Genomic DNA, 16,868 nt, shown 5'->3' on the forward strand with positions numbered 1-16,868 from the left:
TGTCTCCCCCTCTATAATAACAAACGTGCCTGAACTCTGTGATCCCCAACAGCCGGCCAACCTGTGCTGCTTCAGGAAGCAGAGATCCCAGGAGAGGGCTTGCCTTTGCCCCGCCTCGCCTTGCCCCAGAGCTGCCTGGCCAGTGAATGTGTTAACCCCAGAAGGCTGAGTCCTGCGTGAGGAACTGGAGTGTGGGGTGGGACTTCAGGATGGCAGGCCTGTTCTAAGGAGGGGCTGAGGGAGGCCCACACCCGTGGCTAGAGAAACAGGCTCTCCACCCTTCCCCTCTCCCTCAGCACTTCCAGTATCCAGGGGCAAGGAGGTGGTGCATACGCAGCACTTCCCTGACTCATTGAGGCCACTCTGATGTCCCAGTACCTGTGGCAGCAGCTTGGCCTGTGCAGGACGTGTCACGTTGGGGAGCCTGCCCTCAGGAAGAGCCAGTGAAGTGCCAACAGTCCTCTGGAGGGTGACCCAGATCCCCAGGGAGCCCTGCCCCCCAGTGTTTTAGAGCTAGGTATGAAGAGGTTTGGCTGGGGCTTTAACCACCTGCTGGGGAAGCCAAGCTGAGCAGAAAAAACGGCAACAGGAAGAAGCACAGGAAGCACCTGTGTGGATGCAAGTGGCTCATTCCAGACGCTGGGGCGAGGGTGGGCAGGGGCAGGCAGGCAGCCCTCTGCACACTGGCGCGGCTCTTTGCTCTCTGGGTAACGAAGGGTGGCACGGGATGGTGCAGCTCAGTATTTGGGGTGGTGAGCTGGAGCAGCATGGGGCAGAGGAGGCAAACAAATGATGGAGACCAGGCCAGCACCCAAGGCTGGCCACAGCTGGGGCCTGCCCCAGGGGTCCCTGGAGGAGGCCGGCAATCCCAGAACCGCCCCTAGCAGCCCTCAGTCCTGAGGCCCCCACAAGAGGCCCATTGGTAGAGCAGGGCTATCCACCTGCATCAAAAGCATAGCCTGTCATGGTGGGGGAAGAGGAAGTGAACACTGGTTGACCAGGTCCTGGGAAAGTGCAGATGGGGGTGACTGAGCCTGCATGAGCTCACAGCTCAGTACACAGGAGAGAGCAGGGCTTGGGCAAGAAATGGAGGATGGAAAAATGTCATCATCCCAGCCAAGGGGTCCACTGGCGTTGTCACTAAGAATCCCTGCTCTCCAATGCTGGGAAGGGACAGACCCTAGACTCTGTGCTCTGCAGAGTCCTGAGGCCAGAGCCTAGTATTCAGCTCTAGCCAGGGGTGGGTGTGAGGATCGGAAGGGGACAGGAGCTGGAATGAGGGCACTGTGAGCACAGCCAGGTGAAGCACATGATGCCTATCTGGCTCAGAGCAGCATGAATCAACCCCAGGACAGCCAGTCAGCCTCTCTCCATCAGTGGCTTGAAGGCAGGCTGGATGGCCTCCTACACCCAGGCCCATGCCCAGGTTCCTGAGATGGTGGAGGGGCAGAGAGAACCCTTGTCCTCCCACCTCTGTATCTCTCCTGACCCCCTCTGCCTCACAGGGGCCTCCCACAGGGCAAACCTGCCCATAGCATTCTCCCACCCCCTACCCTGCTGTCATGTGGGTCAGGGAGGCAGGTGTTCCTGCTGTTTGGGACTGAGGACAGTTGGGAGCCCCTTGCCTCAGGTGATGGGCAGTTGACGATACCATCATGAGTCAAAGGTATCAGGGCAGGGAAAGCGTCTGCCCAGCCTCTGAGGGGACAGATGGAAGTGGGCCTCCAAGGCCTGTGACACACTGAGAAGTGCCCTATCAGTTAAGTCCATTGAGGCCACAGTCGCCTTGGCCATCATCTCTGAGACTCTGCCCAGAGGAAACTGCTCCACGCACACTGCAAAGCAGGGGCCAGGCTGAAGTAGTCCATGATACAGTTTATTGTGCTGGCAATCGATGGAGTGTTCCCTCTACTCTCCTCCTTTCCTCTTGCCCTCTCCCAACCTTACCTTTCCTCCTGTCTCCCACTCTTCTTCCTCATGTATTCCAAGCTGCAGAGGACCAAAAAAAGAAGAAAGAAAAAAGGCACGTTTGTGAAGGCAAAGAAAAAGATGGGTTGGCATGTGGGAAGAGGATTGCTGCTTTGTCTCGCCCACAGAGCGGGGGTGCCTTCCTTGTATGTTTCTGTGCCTGGTATGTGGGTACAATTTGCTGAACCCCAGACATATGACATGACCCTCCTTTCCCTCCATACCCCCCTCCCCACCCCAGACAATCCTGGAGTGTCCCTTTCAGGCCATCCATCTCCCATGGACAGAAGGCTCTTGGCTTGGCTGCAAGGCCTGGCTTTTCTGGGCCTGGGTGATACAGGAGGGTAAGCTTGGGAAGGACTCCAGTGCCTCATATAAACTGCTAATGAAGCACAATCTATCATTTAGAAAATAGGACTGACATTGGCCTGCGAGAAAGGGGTCTCTTGTTTCAGAAGGTTGACGGCAATTGGGTGATGGCCACTACTCTGAGTTTAATGTCAAGGGTCAAGTCTCACTTGTCTCCAGATACACCCAGGGCATATGGACACTCAGTGAATGCTGACTGAGAGCAGCTGAATTGCTATACGCAACACCTAGGTTTCTAACTGTCTCCTCTTAATTTCCTTACAACCTTCTCCTCCTCCTCAGGCATGTCTTAACATGGTGAAACCCCATGTTGTCTCTACTTAAAAAATAAAAATCGCCCCACAGGGTTCCATTCTAGGCCCTTTCCTCTCTCTCAAAACATACCCCTAGATGACCTCCCCATTCTGCTGGCTTCCATCCACATGCTGAGGCTGCATGCCAATCATTCACATGGTTCTTACCTTGCTTCCAGACCCCCACATCCAGCTGCTCACTGGACACTTCCTTTTGAACATCTGGGGCATTTCAAACTCAACATGCTCAAAATCAGACTCAACATCTTCTCAAAACTTGTTTCTCCTCCAACAGCTCTAGGGGTTACCAATTTCCCAGGTACCCAAGCCATATAACAGAGCCTCATCCTTACTCTTTCCTCTGTACCCACATCCCAGCCATCAGAATCCTCCCAATTAAATGCCCTAAATATATATTTTTTTGATATGGAGTCTTGCGCTGCTGCCCAGGCTGAGTGCAGTGGCGCAATCTCGGCTCACTGTAACTTCTGCCTCCCGGGTTCAAGCAATTCTTGTGCCTCAGCCTCTGGAGTTGCTGGGATTACAGATGCCCGCCACCACAACCAGCTAATTTTTGTATTTTTAGTAGAGACGAGGTTTCACCTTGTTGGCCAGGCTGGTCTCTAACTCCTAACCCCAAGTGACCCACCCGCCTCAGCCTCCCAAACTGCTGGGATTACAGGTGTGAGCCACGGCACCTGGCCCATATATTTCTTTAGCAAGCTGCATGCCCACCTGCTCTTGTCACAGGAGCCTGCGCTTTCCCTTCTATAAGACTAATCACACTTCATTGCAATTGCTTATTTTATTTATTTATTTATTTTTTGAGATAGAGTTTCACTCTTGTTGCCCAGGCTGGAGTGCAATGGCGTGATCTCAGCTCACCACAACCTCTGCCTCCTGGGTTCAAGCGATTGTCCTGCCTCAGCCTCCCGAGTAGCTGGGATTACAGGCATGTGCCACCACACCCGGCTAATTTTGTATTTTTAGTAGAGACGGCGTTTCTCCATGTTGGTCAGGCTGGTCTCAAACTCCTTACCTCAGGTGATCCACCCACCCTGGCCGCCCAAAGTGCGGGATGACAGGCGTGAGCCACCGCACCTGGCCTGCAATTGCTTATTTACTTTGTACCCTCTGGAACATACATTCATAATATATGCTGACAATTTTACTGGGTAACCACCCAGGTCTGAGGTGGGTGCCTTCCCTCTAGAACTTGGTCCAAGTGTTTTGTTTTGTTTTTGGGACAGGGTCTTGCTCTGTTGTCCTGGCTGGAGTGCAGTGGTATGATCATAGCTCACCGTAACCTTGAACTCCTGGGCTCAAGGGATCCTCCTACCTCAGCCTACCAAGTAGCTGGGACTATAGGCACACACCACTATGCCCTGCTAAAGAGGTGGTCTCACTATGTCGCCCAGGCTGGCCTCAAGTGATCCTCCCACCTTGGCCTTCTAAAGTGCTGGGATCACAGGTATGAGGCATCACACCCAGCCTTTTTATTTTTTTTAAACAGCTCTTTTTGAGATTTAGCGCACCTACCATGCAATTCAACCATTTAAAGTGTACAATTTGGCCAGGCGCAGTGGCTCATGCCTATAATCCCAGCACTTTTGGAGGCCAAGGCAGGTGGACTACCTGAGGTCAGGAGTTCCAGACCAGCCTGGCCAACATGGTGAAACCCCATGTTGTCTCTACTTAAAAAATACAAAAATTAGCTGGGCATGGTAGTGGATGCTTCTAATCCCAGCTACTTGGGAGGCTGAGGCAGAAGAATCTCTTGAACCCGGGAGGTGGAGGTTGCGGTGAGTTAGATCATGCCACTGCACTCCAACCTAGGTGAAGAGTGAGACTCCATCTCAAAAAAATAAATAAATACTTAAAGTGTACAATTCAATGGCTTTTAGTATATTCAGAGTTGCACAGCCATCACCACAATTTTAGAACATTTTCATCAACCCAAAAAGAAACCCTGCACCCCTTAGCTGTCATCCCTGCGCTTCCATATTCTCCACCCTACCCCCAGGCAACCACTAATCTACTTTCTGTCTCTACAGATTTGCCTATCCTGGATATGTCTTACAAATGAAATCAGGTTAGGGCTTTCCAACTTACCCAGTTCTAAGATTCACCTGAGAACTTCCCTGGAGATTCCAATTCAGCAAATCTGGCGTAGGGCCAGCCAATTCTCTATTTGTTCAGGCTGCATCTGCCTTTGCTATGCCCAGCACCCAAGGCCAGATACACAGTAAGTGGTCCAGAAATATCTTCTGATGAATACCTCTAAAACCTGTCTCTAGCTCTGGTTTCCCTTACATACACCTCCCCAACTGATGGCCTTGTCTTATGTCAAAAGCAACCTGAAAAGCACTTTGAGTGTGAAAGTACCATATGTTCAGTGTGGAAGAAGCCTGGAAACTCAAACACTCTCCCTAGTCCCCCCCATGGGGCATAGCGCTTTAGAATGCACTTTCACCACCAGGATCCCAATTAAGGAATGGAACAGAAGCCTGAGGAGGGGACAACAGAGGGAGGGAGGACTGAGGTCAGACTGGTGGAGGAAGCAAGCAAGCTGAATCCCCAGGGGCCAGAGGGGGCAGTTAGAGATGAGGCTGAGGGGGTGAGCAGGGGCTTGGTGAGCATGGGAGGCCTTGTGGAGTGGCTGAGTTTGGAATTTATCCCAGGGTACCGGGGAGCCACCAGTGGGCTTGAAGCAGGGGGGTTTTGTGATCACGTGTGTGCTTTGGGAAGGTCACTCTGGCAGCTGTGAGAGGGAGGAGGCCGGAAGCAGGGAGGAGCCTGCAGTTACATTAGAAGAAGCAAGAGTCTGGGCCTGGTGGCTCACGCTTATAATCCCAGCACTTTGGGAGGCTGAAGCAGGTGGATTGCTTGAGCTCAGGAGTTTGAGACCAGCCTAGGCAACATGGCAAAACCCCATCTCTACAAAAAATACAAAAATTAGCTGGGCACGGTGGTGTGCACCTGTAGCATCAGCTACTGAGGAGGCTGAAGCAGGAGGATAACTTGAGCCTGGGAGGTTAGGGCTGCGTGAGCTGTGACTGCACCACTGCCTGATAGCCTGGGCAACAGAGTGAGACCCCATCTCAAAAAAAAAAAAAAAAAAGAAGCAAGAGTAGCCTGGGCCAGAGTGGGTAAAGGCTAGAAGCAGAGGCTTGAAAGTCATGCTCGCTTTAGCATGCGGTTTCATATGACTACTGTGATGTCCAGTGACTGCTCCGCTCCATTCCTTCCACACCTGTAGCCTATACCTTTACACTTCCCTTTTCATCCTTGACTTTTACCTTCTAATACTCAAGGTTTAGTCTGATATTTCCACACTAATATAAAACGAAATAGAAGGCACTCGAGGGCTAGGGACATCCTCTATCTATCTCTGGTAGTACCTAACCTTGAACATAGACCTGGGTCCTAAGCAGTTATTCAGGACATACTTGTAGATTAATAAGTCATCACCTAAATACCTCTGCTGTCTGCCTGAGAGCCTGAAGTTTCCACAATTAAAGCCCTTCCCAGCCTGGGCAACATAGTGAGACCCTGTCTCTATAAATAATTCTTTTTTTTTTAATTAGCCAGACATGGTGGCATGTGCCTGTAGTCCTAGCGACTCAGGAGGATTGCTTGAGCCCAGGAGTTAAAGGCTGCAGTGAGCTATGATTACGCCATTGCACTTCAGCCTGGGTGACAGAGTGAGATCCCATCTTTTTTTTTTTTTTTTTTCCTGAGACAGAGTCTCGCTCTGTCGCCCAGGCTGGAGTGCAGTGGTGCAATCTTGGCTCACTGCAACCTCTACCTCCCAGGTTCAAGTGATTCCCCTGCCTCAGCCTGCTGAGTAGATGGGATGACAGGCACACACCACCACAACCAGCTAATTTTTGTATTTTTAGTAGAGACGGGGTTTCACCATGTTGGTCAGGCTGGTCTCGAACTCCTGACCTCGTGATCCACCCACCTTAGCCTCCCAAAGTGCTGGGATTATAGGCCGTGATTGCCATCACACCAAGCCTACAGTCCCCCATTTTTTATGGGGGATATGTTCCAAGCTCTCTGGTGGATGTCTGAAATCAAGGATAGTCCTGAATCCTATATATAGTATGTGTTATCAATCTGATAACTGAGATGGCTACTAAGTGGCTAATAGGTGGGTAGTATATACAGCATGGGTATGCTGGACAATGGAACGAGTCACATTCCAGGCAGTATGCAGCAGGATGTTGTGAGATTTCACCACTCTACTCAGAATGGTGTGCAATTCGAAACATGATTTCTGGAAGTTTCCATTTAGTATTTTCAGACTGCAGTTGACCATGTGTAACCAATAGCAGAAAATAGCAGAAAGTGAAGCTGTGAACAAGGGGGAGACTACTGTACTCATTCTGATTTTGCCAACAAGTTGCCGGACAACCCTGAGCAAGTCACTTCATTTCTGAATTTAGGACAAAACTGCCTGGCTGATCAAATAGAGCTGTGAGCATCACTTGAAAAGGCAGACATGAAGGTGTTTTGCAAAATGAAAAATATAGAGATGGATTATAAAGGGTGATCCATGCATGTTTGGAAAAGTAAGTAACAGCACAGAAAACAAAATCAACTTCTAAAACATTGGATATAGGTTTAGCAACAGTCCTTTATACCTTTAAGAGCAGTCATTTGAGCTGAGAGGTAAAAAATAAATATGGCTGGCCGGGGTAACCCCAGCACTTTGGGAGGCTGAGGCGGGCAGATCACAAGGTCAGGAGATCGAGACCATCCTGGCTAACAGGGTGAAACCCCATCTCTACTAAAAATACAAAAACATTAGCTGGGCATGGTGGCACATACCTGTAGTCCCAGCTACTCAGGAGGCTGAGGCAGGAGAATTGCTTGAATCTGGGAGGCGGAAGCTGCAGTGAGTCGAGATCTCGCCACTGCACTCCAGCCTGAGCGACACAGCGAGACTCCACCTCAAAATAAATAAATAAATAAATAGGCCGGCGTGGTGGCTCACGACTGTAATCCCAGCTCTTTGGGAGGCTGAGGTGGGCAGATCACATGAGGTTGGGAATTCCAGATCAGCCTGACTAACATGGAGAAACCCCGTCTCTACTAAAAATACAAAATTAGCCGGGCATGGTGGCGCATGCCTGTAATCCCAGCTACTTGGGAGGCTGAGGCGGGAGAATTGCTTGAACCCGGGAGGTGGAGGTTGTGGTGAGCCAAAATCATGCCATTGTACTCCAGCCTGGGCAACAAGAGCAAAACTCCGTCTCAAAATAAATAAATAAATAAATAAATAAATAAATAAATAAATAAATAAATAAGGCTTTCACAGGGGTCTGAAGAAAGCAGACATTAATAAGGAAAAAAACTCCTACAGTCTAGGCAGGAGATGATATGGAAGGATGAGTCTTTAAAATGTTAGAATAGGCCGGGCTTGGTGGCTCATGCCTGTAATCCCAGCACTTTGGGAGGCCGAGGCAGGCAGATCGTGAGGTCAGGAGATTGAGACCAGCCTGGCCAACATGGTGAAACCCATCTCTACTAAAAATACAAAAATTAGCTGGGCATGGTGGTGCGTGTCTGTAATCCCAGCAATTTGGGAGGTTCAGGCAGGAGAATTGCTTAAACCTGGGAGGCAGAGGTTGCAATGAGCCAAGATTGCACCACTGCACTCCAGGCTGGGCAACAGAGCAAGACTCCATCTTGGGGAAAAAAAAAATTTAAATGTTAGAAGTGGTTAGGCTTGGCAGTTGATGTTGGCAGACAATGAAAGCTTTCCAAATGTCTTTAAAGGTTTAGCATCACTACTCTACACCCTCATCCAATGGTGTAAGATGACTCGCTGTCCCCCAAATACTCTTGTAGACTTTTATGCCTTTGATCATGGCTCTTCACCTTACATGTCTTCGTGTCACTTGTTAATGCTTTGCTAATCCTTTAGACCCAGCTGAAATGAGATACTCCTGGAGTGATTTACTCCTTTAGCTGTGAGCTCATTTCTTTCCACTATAACAGTTATTGCATTAATTTTTTGTGTGTTTGTTTTAACCAGTTTTACTAGTTAAATTTTGAGTCCAAGGGCAGGAAACACATCGTGAGTCATCTTTGAATCTCCAGTGCCTAGAACAGGAAGCTACACACACCAAGTATTCAATAATTACTTGATGAGCTGCATCATGTCTCACACATGTTCTCAACAGGTATAGAGAAAACCAGAGTGTTCACATGTAACTTTAGGCCTTACCCCAAGGAGGGCAGGAAGATTCCCTGCTCATTATGTCTTAGAAAATCAATATGTCTCCCCTTCGTTTGTTGATTATCTTGATTAAAGAGTTTTTAAAAAACATGTAAATGATCATAATTATTGCAAGCTTTACAGGGGTAACAATAGGAGCCAAGGAAGATCTTGGAAATACAACTGTTCTCCTGAGAATCATAGGATAATGATTTCTGGCTGGGTGCAGTGGCTCATGCCTGTAATCCCAGCACTTTGGGAGGCTGAGGTAGGAGGATTGCTTCACACCAGGAGTTCGAGACCAGCCTGGGCAACATAGTAAGACCCCCATCTCTACAAAAAACAAAAAACCTTAGCCAGGTGTGTTGGCACTCGCCTATAGTCCCAGCAACTCAGAATGCTGAGGCAAAGGTTGCAGTGAGCAGAGTTCGCCACTGCACTCCACACCCCAGCCTGGGCAACAGTGGACAATGCGACCCTGTCTCAAAAAAAAAAAAAAAAAAAAAAGCTGCTTTATTTCTTGTCTAATCCTTATGGCTGTATCAAGCACAATGATCATCCCATTTTATTTATTTATTTTTTTGAGACAGAGTCTCCTCTGTCACCCAGGCTGGAGTGCAGTGGCGCGATCTCGGCTCACTGCAACCCCTGCCTTCCAGATTCAAGCAGTTCTCCCGCCTCAGCCTCCTGAGTAGCTGGGATTACAGGCACCCACTATCGTACCTGGCTAATTTTTGTATTTTTGGTCTTGAACTCCTGACCATAGGTGATCCACCTGCCTTGGCCTCCCAAAGTGCTGTGATTACAGGCATGAGCCACCACGCCCAACCTATCATCCCATTTTATAGAAGAGAAATCTATAGTTGAGTTGTTACGAATTCAACAGAGACCACACGGCTAATAAAAAACCAAGACTAGACTTGAATCCCGAACAATCTAATTCTAGCATCCAGAGAGGGTGACATTAAACATTTAAGTTACATAACTAACACTAGTTAATCTAATTAACTGCTCATCAAATATTTCTAGTAATTTGGCTTCCCCGAATGCTCTCCTATAGGGGATCAATATGCCTTTTGCCAGCACGAGGACACTGGTCCACTTGCCCGTTGTTAACAGCACTCTGCTTATCTAGCAAGCGCCTGTGAGCCTGACAAATCCCCGAGGAAGGAATCTGCTCTTAGGGTACAAACCACATTGGGTTTCTGGTCCTGTACGTGAGGCTCAAGGCCAGATCTTTTTTTTTTTTTTTTTTGAGACAGAGTCTCACTCTGTCGCCAGGCTGGAGTGGAGTGGTGCGATCTCTGCTCACTGCAACCTCCGCCTCCCAGGTTCAAGCGATTCTCCTGCCTCAGCCTCCTGAGTAGCTGGGATTACAGGCACACGCCACCACACCCAGCTAATTTCTGTATTTTCAGTAGAGACGGGATTTCACCATGTTGGCCAGGATGGTCTCAATCTCTTGACCTAGTGATCCGCCCACCTCGGCCTCTGAAAGTGCTGGGATTACAGGCATGAGCCACCGTGCCCAGCCTAGCCTTATTTTTATCACCTCAACTGTTTCACAGCCTGTCATCATATTTTCCCTCAGCTTGTTTCTTTCCAGCCTCAAACATTCTATTCCTTTTGTTTGGCCTTCTGTTCCTTCATCTTTGGAGCTGACTCCATAAAGTAGGACACATCAAGATTTACCATAAAGACAAGAAAATATTTTGTTTGTTTATTTATTTTTGAGATGAAGTCTCGCTCTGTCGCCCAGGCTGGTGTGCAGTGGCGCAATCTCGGCTCACTGCAACCTCCACCTCCCAGGTTCAAGCAATTCTCCTGCCTCAGCCTCCCGAGTAGCTGGGATTACAGGTGTGCCACCACGCCTGGCTAATTTTTATATTTTCAGTAGAGATGAGGTTTCACCATGTTGGCCAGGCTGATCTCAAACTCCTGACCTCAGGTAATCCGCCTGCCTCGGCCTCCCACAGTGCTGGGATTACAGGTGTGAGCCACTACGCCCAGCCAGAAAATATTTTCTTTTCTTCCTTCCTTAGTGATCCTTCGCATTTTCTCAGCCCTATGTGAGAGCAGTACATAGGGTCCTTGTCTTCAGAAAGCAGGCTTCAAGGCCACTTGGACCCCATTCCTGGCTTTTGATGCCTCAGAGATCATAGAGTTATAAATATAATTAATATATAGTTGTAAATATAATCATAAATATAATTGAGGCTTTTTTCCCTCTAAATCCACTGCCTCAGGCTGGGTGTGGTGGCTTACATCTGTAATCCCAAGACTTTGGGAGGCTGAGGTGGGCGGATCTCCTGAGATCAGGAGTTCAAGACCAGCCTGGCCAACATGGCAAAACCCCGTCTCCACTAAAAATACAAAAAATTAGCCAGGAGTGGTAGTGCACACCTGTAGTCCCAGCTACTCGGGAGGCTGAGGCAGGAGAATTGCTTGAACCCAGGAAGCAGAAGTTGCAGCGAGCTGAGATCGAGCCACTGCATTCCAGCCTGGGCGACAGAGTGAGATTACATCTAAAAATAAAATAAAATAAAAAAATAAATCCACTGCTTCATATTTGCCTACATAAAAGCTTTAGAAGGTGTTCCTGTAGTCTACTCTTAAAGAAGATGGGGACAGGTGTGGTGGCTTACATCCCAGCACTTTGGAAGGCCAAGACAGGAGAATTGCTGGAGCCTGAGACCAGCCTGGGCAACACAGTGAGACCTCATCTCCACAAAAAGAAAACAAAAAACAAAAAAAAAGGAAGGTGATTTGAAGTAAAATCTTGAGAAAGTGAACTAATTAGCTTATTAATGTTACTAGAAAGAAAATCTAAAGTTTAAATGCAAGTCAGCTTTTAATTTTTTTTTTATTTTTGAGACAATGTCTTGCTCTGTCACTCAGGCTGGAATGTAGTGGTGCAATCGGGGTTCACTGCAGCTTCAACCTCCTGGGCTCAAGTGATGCTCCTGCCTCAGCCTCCCAAGTATCTGGGACTACAGGTACACACCACCATGTTCAGCTAATTTTTTGTAGAGATGGGCTTTTGCCATGTTACCCAGGCTAGTCTCAAACTCCTGGGCTCAAGTAATCCACCTACCTTGGCCTCCCAAAGTGCTGGGATTACAGGCATGAGCCACTGTGCCTGGCCTATTTTTTATTTTTTTGAGACAGGGTCTTGCTTCATCACCCAGGCTGGAGTACAGTGGCACACACATGGCTCCCTGTAGTCTCGACCTCCTGGGCTCAAGCGATCTTCCCACCTCAGCCTCCCAAGTAGCTGGGACTACAGTCATACGCCACCACACTCAGCTAATTTTTAAATTTTTTGTATAAACAAGGTCTCCCTATGTGCATGTCAGCTTTGTTGTTTCTAGTACATAAGTTCTTAAGTATACCAGGAACTATTTGGGCTGAGGAGAATGCAAAATGCAAATATTCCAGAAGCATCTGTTTGGTAATTTTCCTCTGAGTTTGTCTTTTCTTTATGTCTGAGTCCTAATGTGTACATAAGAGGCAAATGGGATAACTTGGTTTCTAGAAAAAGAAGGGTCACGTGTAAATTTTTCAAATACTTCACACATTTCTAAAATAGTATCTAATTGTATAAGGTAAGTAACTGGGATTAGACATGAGAAAACTTGCCGGGCGCGGTGAGTCGCTCCTGTAATCCCAGCACTTTGGGAGGCCGAGGCGGGCGGATCACCTGAGGTTGGGAGTTCAAGACCAGCCTGACCAACATGGAGAAACCCCATCTCTACTAAAAATACAAAATTAGTCGGGGGTGGTAGCGCATGCCTGTAATCCCAGCTACTCAGGAGGTTGAGGCAGGAGAATCGCTTGAACCCAGGAGGCAGAGGTTGTGGTGAGCTGAGATCACACCATTGCACTCCAGCCTGGGCGATAAGAGCAAAACTCCGTCTCAAAAAAAAAAAAAAGAAATGAGAAAAATTGGGTCCTGGTGTTGAGAAGCTGTACTATCCCTTTTCTTCATGTCTGTACCCAAGCAGCTGAATGTTGGAGAAAAACCAACACACTGGGCCAACTGGTTTACCTTTAACATCATGATCACAAACCTCAGATGAGTACCCAATGCCACCAAGGCAATCCTGTTAAGGACTTGCCTTCCCTCTCCCCTGCACTTGCATCTGTCTTCACCTTTGTTGCCCTTATCATGAATGGAAGCATCCCTGTTCCTCTCCAAGGTCAACCCTCCCTGTTTCCTTATATCTTCTGATGGATTTCACTCCTATATAGGTCAAGCAAGCCTCCTCTCTCCTGGATCACCCATCTTTCTTCCCCACCATATCCCTCCCAATGGCACATAAACATGCTCTGGGAACCCTACCATCTTTTATTTTATTTATTATTATTTTTTGAGATGGAGTCCCGCTTTGTTGCCCAGGCTGGAGTGCTGTGGCCCAATCTTGGCTCTCTGCAACCTCTGCCTCCCGGGTTCAAGCAATTCTCCTGCCTCAGCCTCCCCAGTAGCTTGGATTACAGGCGCGCGATACCATGCCCAACTAATTTTTGTATTTTTAGTAGAGACCGGGTTTCACCATATTGGCCAGGCTGGTCTCGAACTCCTGACCTCAGGTGATCCACCTGCCTTGGCCTCCCAAAGTGCTAGGATAACAGGCGTGAGCCACTGCGCCCGGCCCCTACTATCTTTTAAAAGATTTCTTTCTATATCTATCCCCAAACTTATCTGGTCCCTTCACAGCAAAACCTCTCTCAAATTGCATACATGTGCTGTCTCCATTTCCTCACTTTCCTGGTGACTGTTTAACCCATTCCGGTCAGGTCCACCTCCCTGATATACTCACGTGAATCAAGCCAAGGCCATCAGTGACATTCTCCAGTGACTTGCAAGGTGACCCAATCCAATAGCCACATCTCTGGCCCAAGTTTATCACACCGCTCAGCTGATGCCTCCTACCTGAAACCTTCTCTGCCCAGGGATTCCACAACTCAGCGCTAGCTTTCATGACTTCCTAGATGCTGCCTTTCAGACTCCTTCTCCATTACCCTCCCAATATTGGAGTGCCCCAGGATTTGGCCATGGAATTTCTCTTCACTCTTTCCTCCAAGCCAAGCCAGGGGTCGTAAACTGACAGCTCATCTGTGTGGTTTAATCAGCTCATGAAGTTTAAAAACATCTGATTCAGTTGCTAACATCTAAAAACTCTGGAGATTTGACATCTTAAAAATACAGATTTTTTTATTCCTTTAGGGGAAAAAAAAAGAGTATGTTATTGGGCCAGCATTCTCACAACGGAACGGTCAGATGGATGGAGAAGAAGCTGCTCCCTAGATATTGGGTCCATTTGATATCTAAGGGAAGAGTCATATTCCCTGTAAGTACCAAAAGGCTCTCATCCCAGAGCCACCAGCACCTTGCAGTCAGTTCTTGGTCAACTTGACTGCAGGTTGGGAAGGGTCCGCAGGCGCCTCCTGGGGAGGGGTGGGACTGAAGGTCTCCGCCCACAGAGAACAGCTCTCCCGCAAAGACAAGAAATGCACGTTTCCACAGAATTACACAGCGCTAAATACAGAAACTCCTTTCAGTAAAAAGCGATTGCTATGAACGTGTTAAAGCATCAAGTCTGGTTTTCCGCCACCTCTCCGGGCTGAGGTGGCCTGGGGACACCAAGAGGAGGCCCTCCCACTCTCCTCTCGCACCCGCTTTTAGGTGGCCCTCTTCTAGGGCGGAGAGATCACCAAAAGCCGCTGAGCAAGGACAGCCCTTCCAGTCGTCGCTCGCGGGCACGGAGCTGGGAGCGCGCGGGAACCGACCGGGCCTTACTCTGGGGCGGGCAGCTGTAAGACATTCGGAGGGCGGGTCGGGCCTGGCTGGGGCGGAGACTGGGCGGGGCCGGGCCCGGGAGCCTCCTCAGCCCCACTGGCTTGCCCCGCGCGCGCTTCCTCCAGCCACCCCCACTTCCCCAACCCTGTACGGGTTCAGGGGGCCGGAGACAGCAGCTAGGGAATAAGGTCAAGCGGACTGGATCCGGCACCGCCCAGGGGCGGCGGCCTCCGCCCAGGAAGCCCCACCCAGCGGGAGCCAGGACGCCGCGGCGCCGGCAGAGCCCACGAGCGACCCGGCGAGGGCGCGTGCGGCGTGACGACGCGACTCGCGGCGCGTCCCGTGACGCCATCGCGCCCGCTTTTGAAAGTTGGCGCCCGGGGCCGCCTCCCATGCTGCCCTGCGCCAACCCCTCCCCTCACCTTTCCTCCCCCGCCCTCTACTCGCCGCCCGGCCGGTCCCCCCACCCGTCCCTTCCCTTATCAGCACCCGCGGCCCCGGCAGCGCCGACGCAGGCGCACTGCACCGCGCCGCCGCCATTTTGTGTCTGAGCCTGTGGAGCGATTAAACCGTGCGCGGAGCTGCTTCTTTGGCGGCAGCGGCGGCGGCGGTGGCCGGTGCGGACGCGCGGAGCTCGCCGGAGACGCCGGGTGGCCGGAGCCGTGGAGCGGCGGCGGAGCGGGCGCCGCGGGGGGTGTGGCGCGGAGGTAAGGGGGCCCGGGGTGGAGGAGGTTTCGCGGGCCGCCTCTAGGTGTCACGATGGGGCCGCTCCGGTCGGCGCTGGCTGCAGCCCGGCGCCAGCGCCGCCGCCGGGGGGTGTTTGTCTCCCTCTACCGTCCCTGCTGCGGCGCGGCCGCCGCCATTGCCCGTCGCCGCCGTGGCCCGGCCGCCCCCCCCACCCCCACGCCCGCCCGCCCGCCCGCCCGCTAGGCCTCCCTCCTGGCAGCGCGCTAGGCCTCGGGCGGCGGCAGAGGCAGAGGCCCGCGCGCCCGGCGACTCCATTTTCCTTCCTTTGTCTGCCCTCGAGGCCGGTTCTTGGCCGGCCGATCGCCCGGCCGCGGCCCGCCCTCTGTCCTGTGTCCTCCGCCCCTCCCGCGGCGGGTGGCCCCAGCTGAGACACTATCTCCGCGTCCCGGCTTCGGCGCCCGCCTAGCTTAAGGGTTCGGACCGACTGCCGCCGCGCGCTAAGCCAGGTCCCGGTGCCGTATGGGTGTCGGGCCCTGGCCGTCGCGTCTCGGGCTGCCCCTCCTCCAGCCAGCCCCGTCCCCGGAACCTACCCTGCCGGCCTGCGTGCCTTCCCAGCTGCTTGGCTGCTCGGCGGTCGCTCCCAGTCCGCGCGTCGCCGCCGCTGGTCTCCGTCTCCGCCGAGTGGCGCAGGCGGCGCTGCAGCGGCTGCGAGCAGAGGGACCCCAGAGCTGCCGAGAGCTCCCTCTGCAAGGCTGGCTGAGCTGCTCGCACCTCTACGCTGCCTGAGCGGGCGGGGGGACGCGCGCTCGCCGCCCCCGCTGCGCCCCCAAACTCGCGCCCGGGTTCCTGGCCGGACCCGACCGGTGCGGCCCCCCCACGGTGGGCGGAAAAGATGCGAGTTCCGCACCAAGTAGTTTTTATCCAGCCGGGTTCGGACTCCCCAGCCGAGTGATAGCAGCCTGACTTTGTGCGCTCAGAGATCTCAAAGGGACTGAAACTTAAATTTCATTCTGATCTCAAGTGACGTGACAAATTTCTGAATTTGGGAGTATGGGCTAAGTCCCTTGAGTTTCCCTCCCGCTTTAAAATGTCCTCACACTAACTTAGTACCTGATGCTCTAGGGCTAGGTGAAGGCGGTTCTGCCCCAGGATTGTGCAACTCGATCTAGAGCGCCAGTAGGGCAGAATGAGTTTATTCTTGACTCGACTGGTAATTTGCCCATGCGATGAAATATGAGGGTTGATGTTGTAATTGAATCCTGGGTCACTTGCTGCAGATGGTTTATAAATATCTACGCCTAATGTAACTACTGTTTAGTAGGAGACTTCCTGTAGCCCCGAGTTCAGCGTTAAGTAAACATTCGCATACGTAGTCTTCATACTTTGAGTTTCGATCAACTAGGAAAGTTAAAAACCAAGTCCTCATAGGTGGGAAAGGAAGTTAAACAAGGCATATATTTAAATTTATTCGGTCCTTAAGTTTTCTTTCTTCACTAAAAAGCATCCCGTTGAATTGCGGGAG

At 50.9% G+C, this 16,868-nt stretch overlaps 1 protein-coding gene and 2 long non-coding RNA genes across 5 annotated transcripts in view, besides 8 other annotated features; 1 reads left to right on the forward strand and 2 right to left on the reverse strand.

Annotated features, from left to right (window-relative positions):
* LOC124903703 (uncharacterized) lies at positions 1,861-16,092 on the reverse strand. Its single transcript, XR_007065094.1, has 2 exons — positions 15,937-16,092; positions 1,861-1,989 (listed from the first exon to the last, which is right to left on the reverse strand). It is a non-coding gene; the product is annotated as an uncharacterized LOC124903703 (long non-coding RNA).
* Positions 4,838-5,339: an enhancer, noted in NCBI's record as "H3K4me1 hESC enhancer chr16:67586099-67586600 (GRCh37/hg19 assembly coordinates)". NCBI's record gives its function as "activates a minimal SCP1, AML or CMV promoter by ChIP-STARR-seq in primed H9 embryonic stem cells {active_cell/tissue: H9 hESC(primed)}" and the evidence as "EXISTENCE:reporter gene assay evidence [ECO:0000049][PMID:30033119]".
* Positions 5,340-5,839: an enhancer, noted in NCBI's record as "H3K4me1 hESC enhancer chr16:67586601-67587100 (GRCh37/hg19 assembly coordinates)". NCBI's record gives its function as "activates a minimal SCP1, AML or CMV promoter by ChIP-STARR-seq in primed H9 embryonic stem cells {active_cell/tissue: H9 hESC(primed)}" and the evidence as "EXISTENCE:reporter gene assay evidence [ECO:0000049][PMID:30033119]".
* CTCF-DT (CTCF divergent transcript) lies at positions 14,053-14,951 on the reverse strand. Its single transcript, NR_158165.1, has one exon. It is a non-coding gene; the product is annotated as a CTCF divergent transcript (long non-coding RNA).
* Positions 14,260-14,309: an enhancer, noted in NCBI's record as "active region_10977". NCBI's record gives its function as "activates an Ori minimal core promoter by ATAC-STARR-seq in GM12878 lymphoblastoid cells {active_cell/tissue: GM12878}" and the evidence as "EXISTENCE:reporter gene assay evidence [ECO:0000049][PMID:35858748]".
* Positions 14,330-14,379: an enhancer, noted in NCBI's record as "active region_10978". NCBI's record gives its function as "activates an Ori minimal core promoter by ATAC-STARR-seq in GM12878 lymphoblastoid cells {active_cell/tissue: GM12878}" and the evidence as "EXISTENCE:reporter gene assay evidence [ECO:0000049][PMID:35858748]".
* Positions 14,610-15,619: a silencer, noted in NCBI's record as "silent region_7614". NCBI's record gives its function as "represses an Ori minimal core promoter by ATAC-STARR-seq in GM12878 lymphoblastoid cells {active_cell/tissue: GM12878}" and the evidence as "EXISTENCE:reporter gene assay evidence [ECO:0000049][PMID:35858748]".
* Positions 14,610-16,386: a biological region, named in NCBI's record as "NANOG-H3K27ac-H3K4me1 hESC enhancer GRCh37_chr16:67596785-67597647".
* Positions 15,168-16,868, forward strand: part of CTCF (CCCTC-binding factor) — a 76,652-nt gene continuing 74,951 nt past the window's right edge. For all 3 annotated transcript variants that reach the window (NM_006565.4, NM_001438969.1, NM_001191022.2), the window contains exon 1: positions 15,168-15,366. The gene's annotated coding sequence lies outside the window, so the exon portion shown is untranslated. The remainder of the gene's footprint in view (positions 15,367-16,868) is intronic.
* Positions 15,524-16,386: an enhancer, noted in NCBI's record as "NANOG-H3K27ac-H3K4me1 hESC enhancer chr16:67596785-67597647 (GRCh37/hg19 assembly coordinates)". NCBI's record gives its function as "activates a minimal SCP1, AML or CMV promoter by ChIP-STARR-seq in naive and primed H9 embryonic stem cells {active_cell/tissue: H9 hESC(naive and primed)}" and the evidence as "EXISTENCE:reporter gene assay evidence [ECO:0000049][PMID:30033119]".
* Positions 16,140-16,239: a silencer, noted in NCBI's record as "silent region_7615". NCBI's record gives its function as "represses an Ori minimal core promoter by ATAC-STARR-seq in GM12878 lymphoblastoid cells {active_cell/tissue: GM12878}" and the evidence as "EXISTENCE:reporter gene assay evidence [ECO:0000049][PMID:35858748]".

Source organism: Homo sapiens, chromosome 16, assembly GCF_000001405.40.
Source record: "Homo sapiens chromosome 16, GRCh38.p14 Primary Assembly".
Lineage (NCBI taxonomy): Eukaryota > Metazoa > Chordata > Mammalia > Primates > Hominidae > Homo > Homo sapiens.